General features: G+C 35.3%; 1 long non-coding RNA gene across 1 annotated transcript in view; it reads left to right on the forward strand.

Annotated features, from left to right (window-relative positions):
* Window positions 1-24,281, forward strand: part of LINC02237 (long intergenic non-protein coding RNA 2237) — a 93,979-nt gene extending 69,698 nt beyond the window's left edge. Inside the window, exons 3-4 of the long non-coding RNA NR_146282.1 lie at window positions 19,842-19,964; window positions 24,045-24,281. This is a non-coding gene — a long non-coding RNA (long intergenic non-protein coding RNA 2237). The remainder of the gene's footprint in view (window positions 1-19,841; window positions 19,965-24,044) is intronic.
* The last annotated feature ends 280 nt before the right edge of the window (window positions 24,282-24,561 follow it).

A 24,561-nucleotide genomic window follows, 5' to 3' on the forward strand; every position in this document is an offset into this window, starting at 1 on the left:
ATTGGCTCACAGTTCTGGAGGTTGGGAAGTCCAATATCAAAGTGCTGGCATTTAGCAAGGGCCTTCTTGCTGCATCATAGCATGGTGGAAGGGCAAAAAGTAGTCCAGACAGAGCTAGAAAAAAGGGTGAAACCCACTCTTGGGATAACAAACCCACTATTATAATAAAGGCATTAGTCCATTATGAGGTCTTAGCCTTCATGACTTTAACACCTCTTAAAAGTCCCACCTCCTAATACTGTCATAATGGCAATTAAATTCCAACATGAGTTTTGAAGGAGACAAACATTCAAACCATAGTAGATGACAATACATTTTTAGACTACAAAACAACCAAAACTGCAACATTTCAAAAATCGAGTTAATTGTTTTACCTCTTTTTAAGGCCAAAAGGTGTAATTTTTTCCTCTTTCTTATGAAGGCATTTTATTTTCACATTTTTTTTTTTTGCAATAGACTTCCTGCCTTTAATCATGGCTTCTATGGACAGCTTGGACTTGCAATGTTACTGGTATGGCCTTGAATCAGTAATTTTTATTACAAGTGGCCCTGTTATTTAAGAGGTACCATGTATTGAGTATTAACTCCAAATACCTTAATGAGAGGATCTGATTGATCTAATCTGGAGATTAGAGATGTGGATCAGTTGGCATCTTTCCTAGAGTAATCTATTACCAGTATTTTGTATTTATATAATATAGAGTTTCTTTTTTATCATTTTTAAAGAGTTTAATGGGCTCACAGTTCTGCAGGCTTTACAGGAAATGTGGTGCTGACATGTGCTTCAGGTGAGGCCTCAGGAAACTTACAATCACGGCCAAAGGTGACAGGGATACAGCATGTCACATGTGAGAATAGGAAAAAGAAAGTGAGGTGGAGGAGGTCCCAAGCTTTTAAACAACCAGGCCTTGAATGAACTTACTGAGCAAGAACTCAGTTATCATCACGGGGATGGTGCTAAACCATTCACAAGGGATTTGTCCCCATGATCCAATCACCTCCCACCAGGGCCCACCTCCAACATTGGGAATCATATTTCAACAAGAGTTTGGAGGAGTCAAACATCCAAACTATATCATAGCCTTAATATCCATCAATAGGGGATTAGTTAAACAAATTATGGGACTATGTATTGTGGCTCACCTTATTATCCCAGCACTTTGGGAGGCCAAGGCAGGTGGATCACTGAAACCAGCCTGGGAAACATAGCAAGCCCCTATCTCTACTTAAAAAAAGGGGGTACATCAATAATCTGAGTACTATGCAGCTAAAACAAAACAAAGGAAGCTCTTTATGCACTTGTATGAAAGAATCTTCAAAATCTATTGGTATATGTAAAAAGTCAAGATGCAGAATAGTGTGTAAAGAAAGCTAGAATTTAGCCAGGTCTGGTGGCTCATGCTCATGGACCTAGCACTTTGGGAGACCTAGGCAGGAGGATTGCTTGAGGCCAGGAGTTCAAGACCAACCTAGCCAACATAGCAAAACCCCATCTCTATTAAAAGAAATAATAAAGAAAACTAAAATTTGTGTTAACAAGGGGGATAACATCAGTATGCATGTGTATATTTGATTGTATTTACATAAAACATCTCTGGAAAGATAAAGAAAAAGAACTGAGAGGCTGGGAATAGGGGTGGGAGGGACAATTTTTACAATTTGACCCTTTATACTTTTTTGGACACAGGATGTTGCTGTCGCCCAGATTGGAGTGCAGTGCCACTATCTTGGCTCACTGCAACCTCCACCCCGTGGACTCAGGTGATCCTCCCACCTCAGCCTCCCAAGTAGCTGGGACCACAGGTACATTCACAACACTTGGCTAATTTTTGTATTTTTTGTAGAGATGGGGTTTCGCCATGTTGCCCAGGCTGGTCTCAAACTCCTGAGCTCAAGTGATTTGCCCACCTTGGCCTTCCAAAGTGCATTCACAGATGTGAACCACCACGCCTGGTCCCTTTTATACTTTTTGGATTTTGATTTTTGTTTTGGTTTCTTCTTCCAAGGTTATCATATTATGTATATAGTATTATTGCCCCACTTTTACAAATAATACAACAAATGCTTAGGATGTCCAAGTAATTTTTCCAAGTAGAAGAGAGAACAGAATATATGCACTCTGGTTGTATAAACTGTTTGTTTTTGTTTTTTTCACTTTACGTTTGCTTTGTATTTTTAATTAGGAAATAATATATGTTCATAGTCACTAGGGAAACTATAATGAATAAGAAAAAGATGAAATTCTTTCTATCTTTCTCTTATCATTTTTGTAGGAGATACATACAAATAAATAATGTTGAAAACCACCAAGTATTTTGTCTTCAAATACTTTCTCCATTTTCAAACATAACTAGTGTATTCAGAACCATTAAAACCTATAATCCTTGAGAATGTCAGAAAATAAAAAGTTCATTTTTCTCATGTTAGTAAATTACAAAATAAAAAAAATCAAAATGAGGAAAGACATGCAAAGTCTTTGTAAGGAGATAAAATAGCTTCCAATTTGTCTGACTCAATTTAAATTAGATAGATTGTGTTAACATATTTAAATATTATTCTATTGTCGGGGCAACATTGATGAACAATGAACATGTAAAGTAAGCATGGCAATTTGGAGACTGTTTATTCTTGTACTGTCCAAAAGAGTGGAGCATATTATCATCCACTGACCAAGATCATTTTTGCAAATTAAATGTATTAATCAGACATATCTTCGTATCTTTGAAAATTCATACTATTTAACTTCCTTTATTTTCTTTAACACCAAGTATTGTTTCTTCATTCTTATGTAGATTTTCTTATAAAAAGACTATATTAGTATGACCTTAGTATTTAATTGCATGTTATAACATTATTTATCATTAAACTGATCACATGATGTTCAGAATTTGTAACAGTGCTCAGGAGATTATTATGGGCCAAATAATCCATTAACTTTACATACATCATCTAATTTAATCATAGTAATTAAATGAAGTAAATGTTATGTTTTCATCTTATAGCTAAAAAAATTGATCATTCAATAAGTTAAATGATTTAGGCAAGGTCAGATAGCTAGGATACAGAGAAGGAGACAGGTTTTCAAGTTAAAGTGAAAGCTGAAGAAAAATCATTCTATAGACATGCTACAGTCAGGAGTTTCAGAGATTTTTATTCAACTCATATCCCTGGGCATAAATCCCTGAAGTCTGAAGCATAATGCAATCTTTATAATTCAGAAATTCAAATAGGAACATGCTTTACTTTAAGTGTGGCATATCTCTTCCTGCAATGAGTTTGCCAAAATCAAAGTTAATGGAAGAGTTTCCCGCAAAACTGCCCTCACTTTAGACTTTAGACATCATCCACAAGTTCAGTGGTCCCAAGATAACTCTCACTTCAAACCACTGACTACAAATGTGAGGGTTCCTACAGTCATGGTAAGGTTCTATAATTTGCTAGAAAGTTACACATAAGTCACTTCAAGTACTTTACTCACTACTGCAGTTGTGCTATGGCTAAAAGATAAAAAGGAGAACCAATTAAAAAACAGAGAGAGATGCATAAGGCAAAACATGGAAGGATTCCAGGCATGGAATTTGCAGCAACTTCAGGAAACATTTCTCTCCTGACGCTAATAACCAACTGTGGAACCTCAACTGAGGTCATAGGTGTTCGGAGTTATTATTAGGTTGTATATTATAGGCACCATTGATTGAACCATTGCTCATATGACCCAGTCTTCAGCTAGAGGTCTGGCTAATATCAGGTGGCTCAAAGCCTTAGCTCTCTAATTATGTTATTGGTCTTTGTGGCATGATTGGCACATGTCCTGAGTCATATGATTAGTATAAGCTATCTAGGGTCTCATCATAAACACCTAATTAGCATAATGAGGACTCCATCATCAAAAAAAAAGACACTGTTATTACTTAGGAAATTCTAAAAATGTATATACATCTGAAGTGTATCTACATATACATCAATCTATCTCTCAAAATCAATCAATGTCTCTGTCTCACATACATACACACACAAGAGAAAGAGAGAGAGAGAGAGAGAGAGAGAAAGAGATTGATTTTAAGAAGTTGGCTTATGTGATTGTGGATGCTTGGCAAGTCCAAAATCTGTAGAGTAGGCTAGTAGGATGGAGACCCAGAAAAGACATGCATTTCAAAGGCAATCAGCTGGCAGAAACCCCTTTTCTTTCAGGGAGGTCCATTTTTTTCTAGGCTGTCAACTGATCAGATGAGACTGCTTATGAAAGGTAAACTATTTTATTCGAAGTCTACCCATCCCCATTTCATAAAACATGAAATTATCTAAAATAATGTTTGACCAAATATCTGGAAACTCTGACCCAGTCAAGTTGACAAATAAAATTAACCATAATGAGAGGCAAACTCTCAAGAACCAGAAATGGATGCTTTATTATACACTTCCTAATTTGATTGATATAAATGACATAGTGCGCAATTTTTTTCTCCTGAAATTATGCTTTTTTTCCCTAATTTATTCCCCTCGTGGGGTTCAACACATATCCAAGAAAATAAAGCAGAACAACACCTATTAATGGAATTCAATTCAGAAACACAGGAACAGAGAAACATTTGGCAGCGGCTTTGAGGGCTCCAACAAATAGCTGCTCTTTCTCATCTTAAATTCCTGACCTACAGCTTCAAAGATTGTAATATGTTGGAACAGAATGATTGACAACTTCATGTATAGGCTGAGGAGAAACAGCAGGACCCTGGCGTAGTTATAGAAAAGAGATGGCTTTAGAGGAGAAAACTGAAAAACAGAATTCAGTGTTAGAGTTTCTTTTCTCAAAAAGTAATGGGCTCTAAGAGACGGTACCAGAGTCTATATGAAAGTATCCGTGGCTTCTGACAAGCTATGGAAATGCTGAACATCTAGAGGGATCAGTTCTCTGCAGACTCTGAATGTAATCTACATATTGTTGTTTTGTAATAGATCATGTATCTTTTCTCTTTAATGAAGAATAGCTTAATACTGCATTTGCATTTATTTATGTACTTTGTTATTTAAATTTAGTAAAGACTGGCCTTAGAGTGAATCAAAATTAACCACTAAGTCAAAGTGCTAAATTGTCTGGTCTATGGCCAGATGTTCTTTGTATGTGCAGAGCAAGACATAGATATGTTTCTAAATTTTGTTATCTTTCTATTTTAATGGATTGTCTGTGATGAGAAGTCATTCGAAGAAAAATTAGATTCATGGCATTATCAAAATAGTTGCTATCCTTTGCTTGTCTATTTAAATAATAGGCATTTTCTCACATGCTTTTATACTTGGAAGATATTTATACATTAAACAAGGTAGAAGACTGTTTACTTAAGTCATGTTATTAAGTCAGTAAGTTTGTCAAATACTGTATTTCAGGGGTCCCTAACCCCCGGCCACAGACAAGTACTGGTCCATAGCCTGTTGGGAAACGGGCCTCACAGTAGAAGGCAAGTAGCCAGCATGCGAACAAAGCTTCATCTGTATTTAAAACCACTCCCCATCACAACCATTACCACCTGAGTTCGGCCTCCTATCAGATCAGCTGTGTCATTAGATTCTCATAGGCCTGCAAATCCTATTGTGGACTGCACATGTGAGGGATCTGGGTTGCATGCTCTTTATGAGAATCTAATGCCTGATGATGTGAAGTGGAGCTGAGGACGTAATGCTAGCACTGGGGAGAGACTACAAATACAGATTAACATTAGCAGAGATGTTTGACTGCACAGAGAACATACAAATCAAATGCTTGCAGATTCATATCAAAACCCTATCAGTGAATGGCAAATGACAATTAAGCTGCATCTGGTGGCTGGCTTTATAGTGGCACTTGAGTTGATGTACTTCAATTGTACAGCTGCATCTGGTGGCAGGCTTTAAGTCAGAATCTGACACTTATTCTAGTCCATGCATGGGTTGCCCATTATTTTATTTACCACTTCTGTTCATGCCTCTTTCCTTTACTGTGCACTTGTCTCAGCCACAGTTTGGGTAAGCCCACAAGCTAACCCTAGCCAAAATGAGTAAAAGCAAATGTCACTGGAGAGTTTCTTTGAAAAGAGGAAAAGACACAATGATGAGACAGCAGAAAACTCTACGGCTGACAACAAAAATACAGCTGAATTTAAAAGAAAATACCAAGTGTCCTACTTAAATTGTGGATTCATTGAAAAAGGTGATTCATATTCTGTAAACCTGCTTTGTATAATATGTGATGAGCAGTTATTTAATGAAGCCATTAAACTCTCAAAACTTCTTCACCACATGGAAACCAAGCACCCTCTATTAAAAGACAAGACTTAGGAGTTTTTCAAAAGAAAAAAAAAGTTGTGAACATGAAGAACAGAAGCAATGAAGGCCACCACTTCATCAAATGTGTCTGTACTGAGAGCATCATTCTTAGGGGCTAACTGCATTGCTAAAGCTAAGAAGGTCTTTACTGCTGGCAAAGAGCTAATCCTGCTTGCTGCTAAGGACATTTGTTGTGAAATTTTAGGAGAGGATGCAGTTCAAAAAGTGGCACGTGTTTCTCTTTTGGCTAGCATTATAACTAGACAAACTGATGAAATAGCAGAGGATATATAGGCACAATGGTTATATAGGATTAATGAGTCACTGTGGTGCACTATCCAGGTTGATGAGTCTACCGATGTTGACAAGAAGGCAACAATGCTTGGTTTTGTATGATATATTTTTCAGGAGGATGTTCACAAGGATGCGTTATGTACACTTTTGTTGCCAACCAACAACACAACTGCAGAACTCTTCAAGTTTTAAAATGATTACATATCTGGAAAACCGAATTAGTCATTTTGTGTCAGTATATGCATGGACAGAGTGACTACCATGACTGGATGGCTTTCTGCTTTCACTATTGGAGTCAAAGAGGTCGCTTCTAAATGAGTCTACACCCTGTGTCATCCATAAAGAAATACTAGCTAGCCCAAAAACGTTACCTGAACTTAACAATAGTTTGCAGGATGTGATTAAAATTATCAATCACATGAAAGTACATGCCCTTAATTCATGTCTGTTCGCAGCACAGATCTGTGAGGAGATGGACGCAGGACACACACATCTTCAACATGTAAGTGATATGGCCTTCTAAAGGTAGATCACTGGCAAGAGTTTTTGAGTTGTGAGAGTTGCTCCAAAGATTTCCTTTAGAAGAACAATTACCACTAAGAGCACATTTCAGTGACCCAGAATGGGTTGCAAAACTTGCTTATTTGTGTGACATATTTAACTGGCTCAATGAACTCAATCTGTCACTTCAGAGGAGACTGACAACTGTGTTCAAGTCAGCAGTTAAAATGGCTGCATTCAAAGCCAAACTGGAATTGTGAGGGCAACAAGTGAACATTGGGATTTCTGATGTTTCAAACACTAGCAGAGATTTTGAAAGAGAATGAGCCAGGGCTTTCTTTCTCCTAGCTGGTGCATGATCACCTATCTCAGCTTCCATAAGAGTTTGAGCATTACTTCCCAACTACACTACTTCCCTGAACTGGGAAGGAATGGATCCATGAACCATTTGCGAATAAGTCACATAAGTTGACTCACCCATACTAGAAGAGAATCAACTGCTTGACATCACAAAAGATGGTGCCTTTAAAAGTATGTTTGAGAAGACATCAAATATCCATACATTCTGGATTAAAGGCGAGGCAGAATATCTTGAGATTGCCATAAAAGCACTGAAAAGCATGCTTGCATTTCCAACATCCTATCTTTGTGAAGCAGGCTTCCCTGCAGTGACAGCAACCATAATGAGATTGCAGAGTAAACTGAACACAAGCAACACACTTCAGTGTCACTGTCTCCCATCACCCCTAGATGGGACCAACTAGCTGCCAAAAAAAAAAAAAAAAAAAACCTCAGGGCTCCCACTGATTCAACATTATGTTGAGTTATATAATTATTTCATCATATTTTACAATATAATGATAATATATATAAAGTACACAATAAATGTAATGCACTTGAATCATCCCGAAACCATCCCTCCTTGCCTTCTGTGGAAAAACTGTCTTCCACAAACTGGTCTCTGTTGCCAAAATGTTTAGGGACCACTGCTTTATACAATTTCCAGCATCATTTAAGAGATAAATTAAACCATTTAGCTACCATATTATCAAAGCAGTCAAACAAGACGTGCTCAAGAGGAATGTTTGTGTACAAATTGTGTGGGTTCAGGACAAATATGTTTAAAGTGCTTCAAAAATCTAGATGGTTTCACATTTTACTACCTTTTTTCACTATTTAACCTTTTTTCCCCATTTGTATTTTCTAAGGGTCCAGTCACATGCATAAAAAACAGAATTTAACCTTAATTTGGCCAGCACAGTTGACCAGAATAGTAGGTTAGTTAGAAAAAGTATCTAAGAACAATGTGGGACAGGTCTGATTTCATTTACAGACTTGACTTCAATATCTTTATAAAGTATCTGTTGAAAGATACTGTAGACCCCTTATAGCATACAGAGGTAACTAACTTAAGAACTACATTTCCAAGACTACCTTGCAAGTTTAGGGACATAATTTAGATTCATCCTTTCAAGATTTTGATTCAGAACCAAATTACATTGAGACAGAGAGAGATAGTACAAAACATCCATTTTAGAAAAATTACAAAAATCAATGTGCATGGTTATGAAATGACTATGGTACTTAGTCTCTGCTTCTTGATTCTGAAGCTTGTGTAGCTGGTGACAGTAGAGATTCTGGCAGTTATAGGGGGTTCTGCATTCAGGAGAGGCCCATGTCCTTTCTCATGTTTTTAGCCCCAACCTGAACCCAGATAAAAGGTGGAAAGAGAAGTAATAGGAAAAGGAGAGAATAGATATATTAATAACCTATTAATATCTTTCTTATTAATCATTGATTTAAATTAACTACACGCACACATACACACACATACAATGGAGAAATTTGTATATTGGAAGAAAATAAACATCTCCACAGTTTCCATGGACCAAATCTGTGCACCACAAAAAATAACAAATTATCACATAAGATCGTAATTTTTTCCTTTATTTTTCAGTGTAGTCTACTGTCATGAATAAGTTCATTATTTTCTGCTACGCTAAATAAGCAAACGATTTTGTCTATTTCCTATTTAAATATGAAGATATTATTATGTTAATTTGCATACAAAAAAAACCAACAAACATTTGGAGTTAGTATGACTCTCATAAGCAAATGCTAAATATAATTATTATTTCCAAGACTAAAATTGACTCAGCATGTATCTAGTTAGAGAAAGTACCTTTTTTTCTGTTTTTTTTATTTTACTTTTAAAAACATCTCTACTAAAAGGAATCATAACACTTTCTAAAAATTAGTTCTGTGATAAAATGTTCTCAGTTTTCCAAAGGAAAACTAATATGTATTATGTTTATCTTTAATGCAGTTATTGATTTAATTGTAAACAAAAAAATATAGGTTAAATAGAATGTTGGGAAACAAAATTAAAATTTGACATGATCTCAACAAGTAAAATTTGGCTTATTTATTACTTACTTATTAGTAAAATTGACTCAAAAATGAAAATTAGAGCTTAAGTAAAATAAGCAAATATACTCTTTACAATGACAAAAGGCATGATATAAATAACAAAATTCAAATGTTATCAAACTACTGCAAAATACTATTTAAATGACATTGTATTAATATGCATAGGAAATAGTTATAAGACATGTTCTCTTTACGTAGAGATTTCACAATTTTAGTTTAGGTATATGAGCACTTGAAGGCAAGTGTAATAATTAAAGCAATAAATACAAATAAAGGATCCAGAAAGAAACAGTGCATGAGCAGCTTATTCTCTGTTGTAAAAATAAAATCTCTAGGGTAGACAAGGACATTTATGGTCTGGCTGCTATGTCTTGGACCTTCTCTCTACCACTGTCCACGTACTGTACAATGTGTTCTAATTTGTGTGTGAGTCCTTAAGTAGATCAGAATTTATGCTAGTAGTACCGGTGTTTTCTGCTTAGAGTAAACTCCATCACTTTCAGCCTCCTGATTAACTTAACATTGTCTTTAAGAACTCAGCTGTGTCTAAAATCCATCTGGAGTCCTTCCCTCCAAAAACTTTAGAAAACTTTAGATCTTTAGCGGATTTCTGGCTCCAAGTGAGACACCTGTTTCCTGATTTTTTCATGGTTAGGAGTTACAGGTATCTTCTACTTGCCTGGTAGCTAGTGATTTTTCTATCATAGTATTTTGCATGACATTAAAATCTTTGGCTTACATTTATTAGATGTGTTTAAAAATTTGATACATGAAATAATTTTTTATTTTCAAATTATCTATTTCCCCACTTCCACTTCCATGAAGAGGTGGGCATTCCTGTCCTAAATTGCCCCAGAATGGCTTATGATTCTCCCCTAAAGATAAAGCTGGCTGAATTTACTTTTCTTCTTGGCATTTTATTTTGTTTTTCTAAAACCTATCTTTTTTAAAACTGGATTCTTGTAGACTGAAGGGAGAGAGGTGTGGAGGAGATCCAGGGGGGACAACTATGTGATTAGAAGCAGCAGCACCCTTGGGAAGCAGCAACGCCAATGAGAAAGTGACTGAGGCACACATAGGGAGAATGAATCTCAGGCCTAGCACCTCCTAGGGTGAGTGAATTTCACCCTAGGCCATGGGCCCTTACAAACATGCCCAATTGGCCCTGCTCCTAGCATGGCCTATAGCAGCAGATCCTGTGGACAAGGGAGCACCATGGGAGCTAACATAACGGGTATCTCATCCAAAGCCAAAATATTCCCACAACCAGTGAGACCTCCCCTATCTATCATCTCCTTTGACTAACCTTGTACGTAGAAAGTCATGGAAAAATGTGATTGAGATTGAAACTCTAGTTGCCTCTGTTTGCTAAGATTCTAATTTTAGTTGATTTACATATTTATACAATATTTAAAAACTATATTTATGCCAAATAATTGAATTCATTAATAGTTTACCTTGCTTTAGAAATTATTAAAATTGGCTGGGCACGGTGGCTCAAGCCTGTAATCCCAGCAGTTTGGGAGGATGAGGCAGGCAGATTGCCTGAGCTCAGGAGTTCGCGGCCAGCCTGGGCAACATGGTGAAACCCCGTCTCTACTAAAATACAAAAAACATTAGCCGGGCATGGTGGCATGCACCTGTAGTCCCAGCTACTTGGGAGGCTGCGGCAGGAGAATTGCTTGAACCCGGGAAGCAGAGGTTGCAGTGAGCTGAGATCGTGCCACTGCACTCCAGCCTGGGTGACAGAGCAAGACTCTGTCTCCAAAAAAAAAAAAAAAAAGAAATTATTGAAATTGCATATTAATTTATTTGGCTTTTTTTTGTCATTAAACCTTGGAAGGCAGCCATCCTGTTTTCTTTTTATCTTCTGTAATCATCATAATGCCTGACTCATAGCAGGTACTGCATCAAATGAACAAATGCAAGATAGAATAAGTCTCACGTATGTTATACAATAATTATTTACCCTGGACTTCAAAACCCTTACTGAGAGGCTAAATAACTTGAAATTACTATAAAACTACAAAAGAAGAACATTTCTGGGAGTTCAGAGAATGTCAAAAGCTCATCCATCATTTGACCTACAGCTATGTGGGGAAAGAAAGAAAGCCCACTTCTTGTGCACACACAATCAGGAGCCAAGGTAGCTTTAAGTAGATTGTCCATAAAGTTGCATAAGACAAATATCTATGCCTTAGTACATATATATACACATATGCTGCATTGTATATATTTTCCTGACAGCCATAGGCTGTAAGAAAAATACATATGATTGCTCTTGCAGGTGTTGACTATGACACTAAAATAGAGAAGCCAACTGACCCAGAGAGGAGCTAAGTCAATTGCAGAAAAGAAAACTAATACACAAATAACAATAATACAACAATAAAGCGATGAAAAAAATGTGTGAACTCATTGCAACATCTGGGGGTTATTTTCCTCACCCGAGTTGATCAAATAAAGATCATATTCCATTTGGATAGCATGAGATCTTGCCAGATAACTATTTGAGACAGCCTTTCTCCTGAGATGGTGGACAGGCTTTCGTGGCACTGGATCCAATTTTTATTCTGAGGATTCGGTCAGTCTTAACATTCTAACTAATGCCTCTTTTAATAAATTAATGCTTTTGTAAAAAAATGGTTTGTTTTATATCTTGATCTTTCATTTATCTTCTGAACTGTAACTTTTTAATATATTTAATTCAGGTTCATAAAATGTTTAGATGGTAATATATGCATGTATGTGTCTAAATATTAATAACAGCTACATAGAAATACTTCATAAAGGGAGATTATGATGTTTATTTTAAATGATTCAAGGAATAACTTGTGTATATTTTAAAATATTCTAATTGATAAAAGTTTTGTCTAAAAAATATATATTTTAGAACTAAACACTATTCATAGAATTCATTTCAAGATTTGGAAGTAAATATTTAATTTTTACAACATTTTTGAAATATTTTACAAAATAAAATTACTTTAAATGAAGTTCTTCAATCTATATGAAGATTGTTTGAAATTATTTTAAAGCTAAATCAAATAAACTAAAGATTTTTTACATATTTAGAAAATGTTGGACAAAATAGTGATCTAGAGTACAATAGTAGCCAAGAAGAATACCATGCTTAATGAAAAGAAAGACTTATAGCTCATAGTTATGTATATTTTACCTACTTTAAACTCAAATAACAAATAAAATACAGTTAACTTAATGTTAGGAATAAAATCTTTAGGCTTGCAACTAAACAAATGTGGACTGCTTCACACAGATAAATTGGATGGCTGAAGAAAAACATTATACAAAATTAATGAGCATCAAAAAGCAGAGTCTATTTTTTTAATGAAGTCAGGGGAAACTTTTCTAATCTCAGAAAACAGCAATCTAAGACGCAAAATAAGATAATACCAGCAGAGGGACAGTGTGGGTGTCCAGGCCACAGACTTTCATTTAGATAACAAGGTTTTGGAAAATTAAATTCTCTCTGGGTTATACAGGCTTTAAGTTAAAATAATATTATGCTAAATGTAAAGAAATTTGAGGTCCGAAACCATTCTACCTTTTCTAAATTGTTTATGAAGTTCAAGCATCTATAAGGAATTATTTCCTTACAGAATTTTATTAGAGTAACATCCAATTCTCTTATATTAGAATACAAAAATATACTATAGATAAAGTCCTTCAGCTGAAACCAAAGGATCTAACTCACAGCTTCAAACAGGTATATCACAATCATAATATAGCAAAACACCTTGTCCAAAACTTTGAACATCAGCATGGTGTAACTTTTTTATGAGGACAAGATGGGTTACAAGCCCAGGCTTTTTAATTTTAAAGATGTTTGATGTAGGATAACTGTATTTTCCAATATCTGCTCACCTTCTCTACCCTCAGATATGTCTTGAAGTCTATTTTGAGAAATTTAGTAGCCACAAGCCATCCACTCTTTAATCTTTTGAAAATGAAGATCAATTCCAGACTAAAAAACAGGATTACAATGAAACACTTCATTTTTCTTTCTTGTAGAATTGGAAAAAAAACTTTATATAAACTGAAACATTAGATTGGTTCTAAATATCTAATTTTCATAAATTTTTATTAGATTATTTTGTGAAAATAAGCATAAATTAAAATATCTATTCATTTATAAGTATTCATTAATTCAATCTTCACTTAGCCTTTTTATGTGCCAAATACTCTTAATTAGACATTCATAAGGGAAAACTCCCTTCAAAAAGGAATTGAAGACTGATGGAAAGCACACATACTATAACACAAACACATGTGCTTTGTCTTTTTGTGTGTATCTATTCACCACATATTTTGACACTTTGTAAGAAAAGTATGAGGACAGAAAGAGTAGCAGACTATCTTTAAACTAAGAGAGCCTGGCACTTTCTTCTCACACTTGGCTGTAAATGTTCAAGATTTTTTTTGACTACCTTATTGGGAGAATCATTGACTACAGAGCAGGAATTTACTGTTTCTATAAATTTATTATAGTCATTTTAAGAGTAAACTGAACTTACCAGTCACTCCCATAATTGTTTTCATGGAAGAAAGGTATGATGGTACTATCTACTAGGACCCCACACAAAATGATTTTCAAATCTTCATTTTTCCAAGTCTTTTGAGAACCAGCATCCATGAACTGTTTAACAAATTACAAATTATCTGGACAAGACCATATTTAAAACTACATTACATTTAAGATAATTTACTCAGTTAGGCTGGTCACTGACATGCTTTAACCTTTCAAAAGAAGGTGATTTTTTAGCATATTTTAAAATGTCTGGCATCATTTGGAGATTAAAAACCCTTCAAATAGAAATGTTCACATTTCCTCGAATTAGCAACCTTATCTTAGTATATATTTTAATTTTTATGCAAAGCAATAAATAAAATCCTTCTTTATCAACTGAATTCAGAGCCAATTAAGAGTCAGATTCAGGAGTCATCCTCATGGACATAAAAATGTTAATCTTATTATTGAAATTCACTAAGTAATTTATCAATCAGCTTATGTTAAGTACATTATGCTACAGTAACAAAGGACCTTTAAATTTTAGTAGCTTACAACAAGAAAGGTTTGTTTCTTGATCATATTACATGTCTTTATTTCTCGATTATATTATACGTCTATTGTGGTTTGGCTGGAGCACTGCTCCAATCTTCTTCATTTTTGGGTCTAGGTTACAGAGGCAGTCACATCTGAGCCCCTACACCCATCTCATGGTAGAGAAAAAAAATAATGGCAGAATCATACTATGATTCTTACGATTTCTGCTCAGAAATGGTTCATGTCACATCACACACATTTCATTGTTTAAAGCACTTTCAAACACAATATTACTAAATTTGGAGACCAGATAATTCTTTGTGATGGGGTTGGAAGAGCTATCTTGTGCATTATTATTTAGCAGCATCTTTTTTTTTTTTTTTTTTTTTTTTTTACCCACTAGATGCCAGTAACAGCCCCACAGTTGTAACGAACAAAAATGTCTGCAACATTATCAAATATTCCCTGGGGGACGAAATGTTTTCAGGTTGAGAAGTATATGTCTAAATCTAATCACTTGGCTTAGTCTGGGGAACAGTGGTATAATCTTACATAACGGAGATGTACTGTAGAAAAGAACCTGCTATGGAGTGTTCCAAAAACTAAAAGCCTGATAAGAGAGCAATGCATATTTTTACAATAATACAATCTACAAGTACATAGAGAACACACACACACACACACACACACACACAGAGAATTAGCAAATATTTGAACTTTCTGTGTGCATGATGCCTCAAACGAAAGATTGAAATTAAGTCATTCTGTTTGTGACGTCACGTGCCCCAATCATTTGCTGATGATCTGAAGATCACTGAAGGGAAGGTTATTTTATTTTTTCACAGAATGGTATAGTTTAAAAATAGTCATAAGGTGGTAAAATTGATTCTAATGCTACTCTGAACCTCAAAAAAATCCAAATGTTCATGCCATATACTATACAAGGTTTTACAATGAGACTAAATGATAAAATACAGATGCTACAAAAATAAAATCCCAACCATGAGGAGATGTCCTCTAATTTCAATACCTACCATTAGCACTGGTAAGGAGAAATTGATTATGGATCAAGCATTAAAGTACAAAAGGGACTTTAGATACCTTTATGCCGTTGAGGTAAGTTAAAAATTCTTGATTAAATAAAATCCAAACTTAAATAATATTTTTAACATGAATTAAAAAATAAAACATTTGATTACAAAAGTATTAAAGGACAAAACCATCTCTTTCATTAAAAAACAAAAAAACAAACTGCACTCATTTTAATCCTGAAGCATGCTGAATACCTAGCTCAAGGACTATAGCTTACATAGTATATCTGGAAAGTATTTAAGTCTCTTCAACATCTTTGTGTTATCCATAAGTGTTCACTGTGTCTGTCAAAACACCAAGCAAGCAAATAAGAAAGGATAGGCTTATCCTGATCTAGTATTATTAGTTCTTGTGATAAAACTATTCCTGGACAAACTATATTCGAATAACCCAGGACCTAGCATTGGCAACTACCCTGGCAGTCTTTTGGTTGTTGTTGTTTGTTTGTTTGATTGATTTGTTTGTTTGTTTTTGAGTCAGAATCTTGCTCTGTATTCTAGGCTGGAGTGCAGTGGTGTGATCTCAACTCACTGCAGCCTCCACCTCCTGGGTTCAAGAGATTTTCGTGCCTCAGCTTTCTGCATAGCTGGGACTACAGGCATATGCCACCATGCCCAGCTAATTTTTGTATTTTTAGCAGAGGCAGGGTTTCACCTGTTCATGTTGCCCAAGCTGGTCTCAAACTCCTGGACTCAAACTATCCACCTGCCTCAGCCTCCCAAAATGTTGGGAATACAGGCATTAGCCACCATGCCTGGTCTACCCTGGCTATCTTAATGGTAACTTAGAAACAGAGCCATTGGGAAAAGCCTTTTGGCTTCAGTTTTACCAGGATATCTGTCAATCTGTGTCTTGGGCTTGACCACCAGGGCATTGAAATGTAATTTTAAATATGAGAAAATGCCCATAAATAGTATATTTATGTCATATTGCTTACTAGATACAGATAAAATTTCACCTAGACATACTCTCTATACTGTATTTTTTGGTGGGTGGCATTTATGACCCTTCGAGAAAGTTAGCACTTAGTTGAGATACCTTCTCTTCAAGAATATTCAAAAATTCTTATTTTCCAAGTTCCAAGTTTTGGTTACCCCAGTGCTGAGTTGCAAGAGAGGGAGCACTCTAGTTCACCATCAAGTTGCAATACTTCTTACTATAAAAGCCGCCTGCCAAAGACACAGTGTAAAATTCAACCACACAAATTTATAAAAGTGTCCTCATGGTACAACATAATTCACTATGAATCCTGCATGAATTGAGCCTAACTAAGTCCCACTAAATCTTAAAGTCATGAATTTCCTTATATTGCCTGTGTGTTTCACTTCCTAATACCATTCTACCATTCTGTGTCTGTGCCTGTAAATTCAGAGATAAATGCAACAAAATCTAGGGCTAAAACAGGAATTTTTTTTTCTCCTAATCTGTGTTAAGCCTTGTCTTAGTTCAGGCTGCTATTGCAGAATACCAGACTGGGTGATAGAAACCACAGAAATTTATTTCTCACAGTTTTGGAGGTTGGATCTGAGGTCAGAGTGCCAGCATGGTTGAGTTCTGCTGAGATCCCACTTACTGATTCATAGACAGCTGTCTTCTCACTGTATCCTCACAGGCTAGGGGAAAAAAAAAAGGCAAAAGAGCTCAATGGAGTTTGTTTTTTTTGTTTTGTTTTGTTTTGTTTTCTTGAGACGGAGTTTCACTCTGTTGCCCAGGCTGGAGTCCAGTGGCACGATCTCGGCTCACTGCAACCTCTGCCTCTCAGGTTCAAGTGATTCTCCTGCCTCAGCCTCCCAAGTAGCTGGGGCTACAGGCACGTGTCACCATGTCCGGCTAATTTTTGTATTTTTAGTAGAGATGGTGTTTCACTATGTTAGCCAGGCTGGTCTCGAACTCCCGACTTCATGATCCGCCCGCCTCAGCCTCCCAAAATGCTGGGATTACAGGTGTGAGTCACTGCATCCAGCCTACGAGGTCTCTTTTATAAGGGTCCTAATCCCATTCTTCCATCCTCATGACCTAATTATCTCCCAAAGACTTAGCCTCCTAATACCATCACATTGAGGGTTAAGATTTCAACATATGAATTTTGGTGGAACTCATTGAGTCCATAAGAAGCCTTTATAGAAGGTCACAGAGTTCAAGCAGGTAGAATAAAAATAATTTTTTAATAATTATACACTGACACCCAGGGACTCCCACTCCTAGGGGAAGGAGGAGCACACCACATCAAGGGAACACCCTGTGGAACAAAATAATTTGGATGGCAGGCCTTGAGCTCCAGATCCTTCTGCTGGTGGAAAGCTTCTTTCAGCAGTGGCACAGTTGAAAGTGCTGGGCTCAGCAGAGGAAGCTTTCTGCTCTATCCCAACACTCAGAAACTCCTGGTGTGCATGAAGGGTCTTGGAGAAGAGGACCCTTCCATCCTGTTGTTCGGAGTTTATTGCATTTCACCCCTTTGAGTCCTGTCCTTCATGAAAATTTATCTTGCTTTTTGATCCATCGGTATTCATAGATTTTCATCTGCTTTCTTTTTATCTCTCACCCATATATCAAGAAGATATATGGCCAGGAAACGTGAAAAAATGCTTAACATCACCAATCATCAAGGAAATGCAAATTAAACCACGATGAGATACCACCTTACTTTTGCAAGAATGGCAATTATTTAAAAATCACAAAACAATAGATGTTGGTGTGGATGTGGGGAAAAGGGAACACTTATACACTGCAGAGGGCAATGAAAATTAGTACAACCTGTATGGGAAACAGCATGGAGATTCCTTAAAGTACTAAAAGTAGAACTACCATTTGATCCAGCAATCCCATTACTGGGTATCTACCCCCACAAAAAAAGAAGTAATTATATGAAGGGATACTTGCACACATATGTTTATAGGAGCAAAATTCATAACTGCAAAGACATGAAACTAACCTAAGTGCCTATGAACTAATGAGCAGATAAGGAAAATACGATAAATATACACCATGGAATACTACTCAGCCATTGAAAGGAACAAAATAATGTCAGCAGCAACATGGATGGAGCTGGAGGCCATTATTCTAAGTGAAGTAATACAGGAGTGGAAATGCAAAAACAGTATGTCCTCACTTATAAGTGGAAGCTAAGCTATGACTATGTAAAGGCATAGAGAGTGAATGATATAATAGACTTTAGAGACTCAGAATGTGGAGGGTGGGAGGAGATGAGGAATGAAGAACTATCTATTGGGTGAAATATGTACTACTTGGGTGATGGGTGCACCAAAATCAAAGAATTCACCACTATATAATTCATTTATGTAACAAAAAGCCACTTATACACAAAAAGCTATTTAAATTTGTAAAAATAAATAAATAAAATGCATACTGACAAAATCTAGGTTTGAATACATGGCTAAAGATTTAATAAGATAATTGATTATTTATGTTATACTCCTGAATAATTAGCTCCACCTAGACACAGAAAATACTAGAATGCAAAGGCTCTGTGATGGAAATCCATCCTACTAAATCTAATAAATGACCAAGAAAGAATGAGAATAGATCCTTTGTGCAAGTTGGCAGAAATAAAGGGAATGAAGGAAGGTGGGGCTGAGCTAAGTGTAATCATCTTCTCCTTATAACCACACTCTCAGTTAAGCCAATCCTCCCTTAATAGTGAGAAATAACTGTGGAATGCTGAAGGAGACCAACAGTACCACTCAGAAAAACTCCCCCACATAGAAAAATAGAGCCAGAAAATAAAAGCTCCCCTCACCAATAAGACAAATATTTTATTGAATGTTCTACTGAAATGTTTCAATGATGAGTATTAATATAATAAAAACATATGGCATAGAATAAAATTCAATCTTTAGAGAAGAAGAAAAAAGCTTCTTTTAAAATACACATGATTCTATATTATATATGGAATAAGATTAAATTGTAGTGCTTTCTGAGTGAGTTGTCCTTAGCATAAGAAATGATCAATGTTGATAAAAGTAATTGTGTGATATTTTTTAATTATATATTGCTCTTTAGATACAAATAATTAGTAATTTATATTTAGAAAATAAAACACAAATAAATTTACAATATATCTTAATAACTTCATGTGTTAGTCCCAGCTGCTGTAACAAAGTACCTTAGACTAGGTGGCTTGAACAACATTTATTTCTTACAGTTCTAGAGTCTGGACGTCTGAGATCAGGGTGCCAGCACTGTCGAGGTCACAGACTGCAGACCTCCTTGTATCTTCAAATGGAGGAAAGAGGACAAGAGAGCTCCTGTGGTCCCTTTTATCAAGGTAATAATCCTGTTCATGAGGGCTCTACTCTCATGACCTAATTGTCACCTAAATTCCCCACCTGTTACCATCTTGTTAAGGGGTAGAATTTCAACGTATGAATTTTGGGAGGACACAAACATTCAGTTCATAACATATTACAACTTTTAAATTTTCACATTAGTTTATGCTAAAATACATTATTCATATCTCAAGTAGATAATACATTTCTTTCTTCTTTCTTATAATATTTAGGAATAAAGTTTCCTTAGAAAATACTGCCTTTCACCTTTTTTCAATAGGCAGTGATTTTTATCGGCTACTTACAAAGTGGACAATAATTTTCTCTCTTTGAAGTTACAATGGAGTATCCTGTACATTCAAAGACATCACACTTTCTTATAATGATGATGTTAGAATGTAAGTTGTTATTTTAAATCACCACCAATACTATCATTCAACTAGTATTTATTTGACACAACATATATATGGCATCTTTCTAGGTATGGTAGGTTGTTAGGTTTACTGAAATATATAGCTTATGAAGGGAGAATATAAAGATGATTCAAGAAATGCAACAGAGATTTTACTTGTAGTCACTAAAAATAATAATTATGTTAATAAAAAGAAGTATATTTTATGAGATAAAGAGTAAGTTTAATTTCAACATTGAGATACTGTATTTTTCATTGTTTCCCTAGACAGGTAAGTCAAAATCAGAAATCCGTTGTTTAAAAAATACATTTTTTTCTTAAACAATGCATCTTAAGTTGCTACTCTTATTTCCAAATTATATTTAGGAAGGCTGTGGTTTTACTTATTATATTTTAATATATTTTATTTTATCCTTAAAATCCCAAATTCTAAAAATCATAAACATTCTGTTCTATACTGTAGGTTTTTAAATGCCAAAATGGTATTGGAAATGCTTCAGAATTTTAAACTAAATTAAAATTATTAGTTAACTTTAAAAAATTACCTTGAGGTTCTTATTGTCCTGGAATACATTATACAAAAAAAATCAATTAGAAAGAATGCTGTTCAAAATACATTACATAATTTTAGTGACTTACGTATGCCTTTTTTGTTGGGTATATTTATAAAATAGAAATTGTTGGGTTATAAGGTATGCATATATGGTAGATATGCCAAAGAGTTTTCCAAGCTTTCTTGAATAAATGTAGTCCACTGGCAGTGAATGAATGGTCCACATGTTCCAGAAAACATTATATCATGTCAGTTTATTTAATTTAGTCTAAAGGTTATCTTTTTTGGGTTTATTTTATTTTAATATATAGTAAAATTGACTATGATTTTGGATGTGAATTTCCATAAATTTTAGCACACATATAGCCACATATAACCAACCACACTACATCAACTCTATACCCTGACAATTACTGATCTGTTCTCCATCACTATAATTTTGTCTTTTCAAGAATATCTTGTAAATGGAATTCTTACAAATATAAAGTAAATGTTTATTTTCTGGCTATACAACTAGAATAGAATACATAAAGACAAATATGTTTTATTCCTTATTGGCGTGGTACATGGTAGCTTGCCATGGACATTTGTCATACAACTGAATAAATAAATGATGTTTGTTAGTTTATTTCAATTACGTTTTCAATTGTTTCAGTTTTAATAAAAATGAGCATTTTCACTGCTTTCATTTATTTTTTCTTTCCTCCATTATTCACTCCCTTATTCAGAAACAGTTCATTATGTATCTTACTTTCTCAAAATATTAACCTTACTTTCACTTTAAATAGTATACATGGAAACTAATATTTTGTGTGTGTTAAGTATATTGATTTACTTGAAAAATAAAAGCAATAAAAGCACCTAATATATTCTCAATATACCTACAATGCCATAAAATGTACAAATATCTTGAACTACATGTGTCTATTGAACAGAGTAATGAATTATAGCAACAAAAAAAAAATACAAAATCCAAGTAATTTAGATCCACAGAAGTAAATTATTAGTTATATATAGGTGAAAGTAAACATTTTATTTAAAGAATTAAAGTTTAAAAACAAATCTTGGCCTATTGCCAAATTGTTAGTTGGAAGTATTGTAGTGTTAGAGAATTTGAAAATCTGCTCAAATGTGTAGAAGAGTGCTTCACTTCACTTACTGCAGTCCACAGAAGTTTAAATGTGGTTAAGATACTTAGTTCAAATCAATATTTTGCTGATCCATGTGTGAAAAGGTATATTCAACTGACTCTCCTAGTAATACCAAGTAACTATTAGAATAATTCCATGGGTATGTGTGTTTCTATTTTTATTTTGTGTCTCTGAAAGCCTAGGGCATTGAATCTCTTCATTGCCTTTGTTAAACCTCATATGTAATTGAGCCTTTGTTGGAAACTCAGCCAAGTCTTAAAGATATTTCAAGCTACAACATATATTGTTACATAACTAGAAAGTGCAATAATCTCTCAGGAAACTACAGGAATTTGCATATGGCATGGACCATGACTTAATTTTATGTTAGCTAAATTCCTTATCAAATTATTTTGAGATTTTTCTTTCCAACATAAGAAAAACAATTGAAAAATGGAAAATTAGTGAAACCAGACCTGATGTTGCATTTCAGCAGGGGCCTTTGGGTAGAAAGCATGAGACTGTTTTTTTTGCTTCCTCTGCAGTCAGTGCATGAGGGGATGTTATGCCACAGTGTTTCACAAGTCTGCTGATTCTAGGAAAAAGCAAACAACCAAAAAGAATAACAGCAACAAAAATGAGTTGCTTTCCAGGCTTATACTAAAACAACATGACTTCAGCTATTACAAATACTTGAGTTTGAATTCCAGTGAGTTCACTTAGATCTATGAAGATTTTAATTATGAAAGACTAAGGATTATATTTCCCTCCCTGTTTCCTTTATCATCTAATTGCAGCATTTATTTTTCTCTACTCATCATCTACAGCTTTGTATAACATATCATTTTCTTTGTAAAACATAGTTCTCAATAGGATGCTGGATGATACAGTTTGGGATTAGGGTGGAAGAGAAAAAGGCAGGGAGAGAAAGAAAAAGGAAATGAGAGACAAGAGAAAAAAGAGAAGTGAGAAGAGAACAGGAGGAGGAAATGGCTGAAGCAAAAAACGGATGCAGCAAGAAAGGGAAAGAGAGAGGCATTAAACTTTTAGTTCATCAAACTAGAAGCTACAATAACTCAATTAGTCATGTGCAATTTTATTGAAGGGGATAAGATAAGATAAAGAACAAAGATAGATAGCAACCAATAAGAAATGTGATGTTTAAGAGAAATACGGCTTAAAACAGGACAGGCAGGCGGTATACACAGGCAAGAAAATAAAAAGGTCAAGGAGTATGTTGTAATCAATTGTTAAACACAGGGTAGGAAGAAAATACTCTGTAATACTGGTTCTACCAACAGGGGAATAAAGCCAGTTTGTGGCAAATTGTACAAGATCAATTTTAATATAACATTATATTATCTACATCATGTATTATGAGATAGTGCTTGATGCAAAATGAACTTATGGTCAGTACAGAAACTAAAGGTTCCATAGAAAATATACTTTATTTTTACATTAAATATATGTATTGGTAATAGGTTCCAGTGACATGCATATAGAAATAATATGTATTTATTGAACATGCAAAATATGTTTTATTATTTAGATATTGTATTAAAGTTTCTACAATACAGCCTAAATTAATGATATTTTCCTTAGCAGTTATTATAAAAATAAACAGTAATTGTTATATAAAAATTATTTTTCTTCATATCTCAATTTGCAACGTTCATCTATGTGAGTTTGTTAGTAAACTCTCGCAGCCTCATTTTTTAAAACGTGATAATAAAAAGATACTGCATAGAGTTATTATGAGTATTAAAGAATTTTAAAGCACTTAGGAAAATATCTGACACGTAAGGAATACACAAATATTAGATATAATTGAATATCTGTCTAAGGAGAGATAAAGAAGGGATTCTTGATATGAGATTCTTGATATGAATTCGTGTCTTTTTTTTTTTTTGTAAGTAAGCACTGTCTGTATGTTACTGTGTCTGTAATTATGTTTTTCCATGTGACTGAATGCATTCTTCAAAAGGCATTTGCAGTGATACATCCTAGTGATGGCAGCAACCGCCCGTCTGGAGCCGCGGTTGGGAAGACGTCGTCTGCAGCAAGGGAGGCGTGGTGGGGCTGTGCCTCTGTGGAGCTGGTGAGGCCGGGAACAGGCAGGCCCCCCGCCCCTATCAAGTCGCGGGGCAAGAGCCCCTCCCTCCAGATGCAACTGCAAGGGTGACTCCAGACCTATACGCCCTATGGCACTGTAGGCTCGGAAGGGCCTGCTCCCACTCCCTGGCCTGTTCCGGCTCGGGCACCCACACCACTGTAAAGCAAAGTTGTAGCTGAGCCTGGGCGTTGTGGCAACCCAGCCGAATGTGTGTGCTGGAGGAGACGCTGACATGCCAGCCTCCACTCCCACACCTCAGTCCCCGTGGGACTTTGGGCACAGACGATCAAGGGACAGAGGCTGAGGGGGGGCTGAAGCTGGTGCAGTGTAGGCTTGCAGGCGACCATTGGCATGAATAGCCTTCGTACCACAGATGACATATTGATGG

The sequence above is a fragment of the Homo sapiens genome, chromosome 8, assembly GCF_000001405.40.
Source record: "Homo sapiens chromosome 8, GRCh38.p14 Primary Assembly".
Classification (NCBI taxonomy): domain Eukaryota; kingdom Metazoa; phylum Chordata; class Mammalia; order Primates; family Hominidae; genus Homo; species Homo sapiens.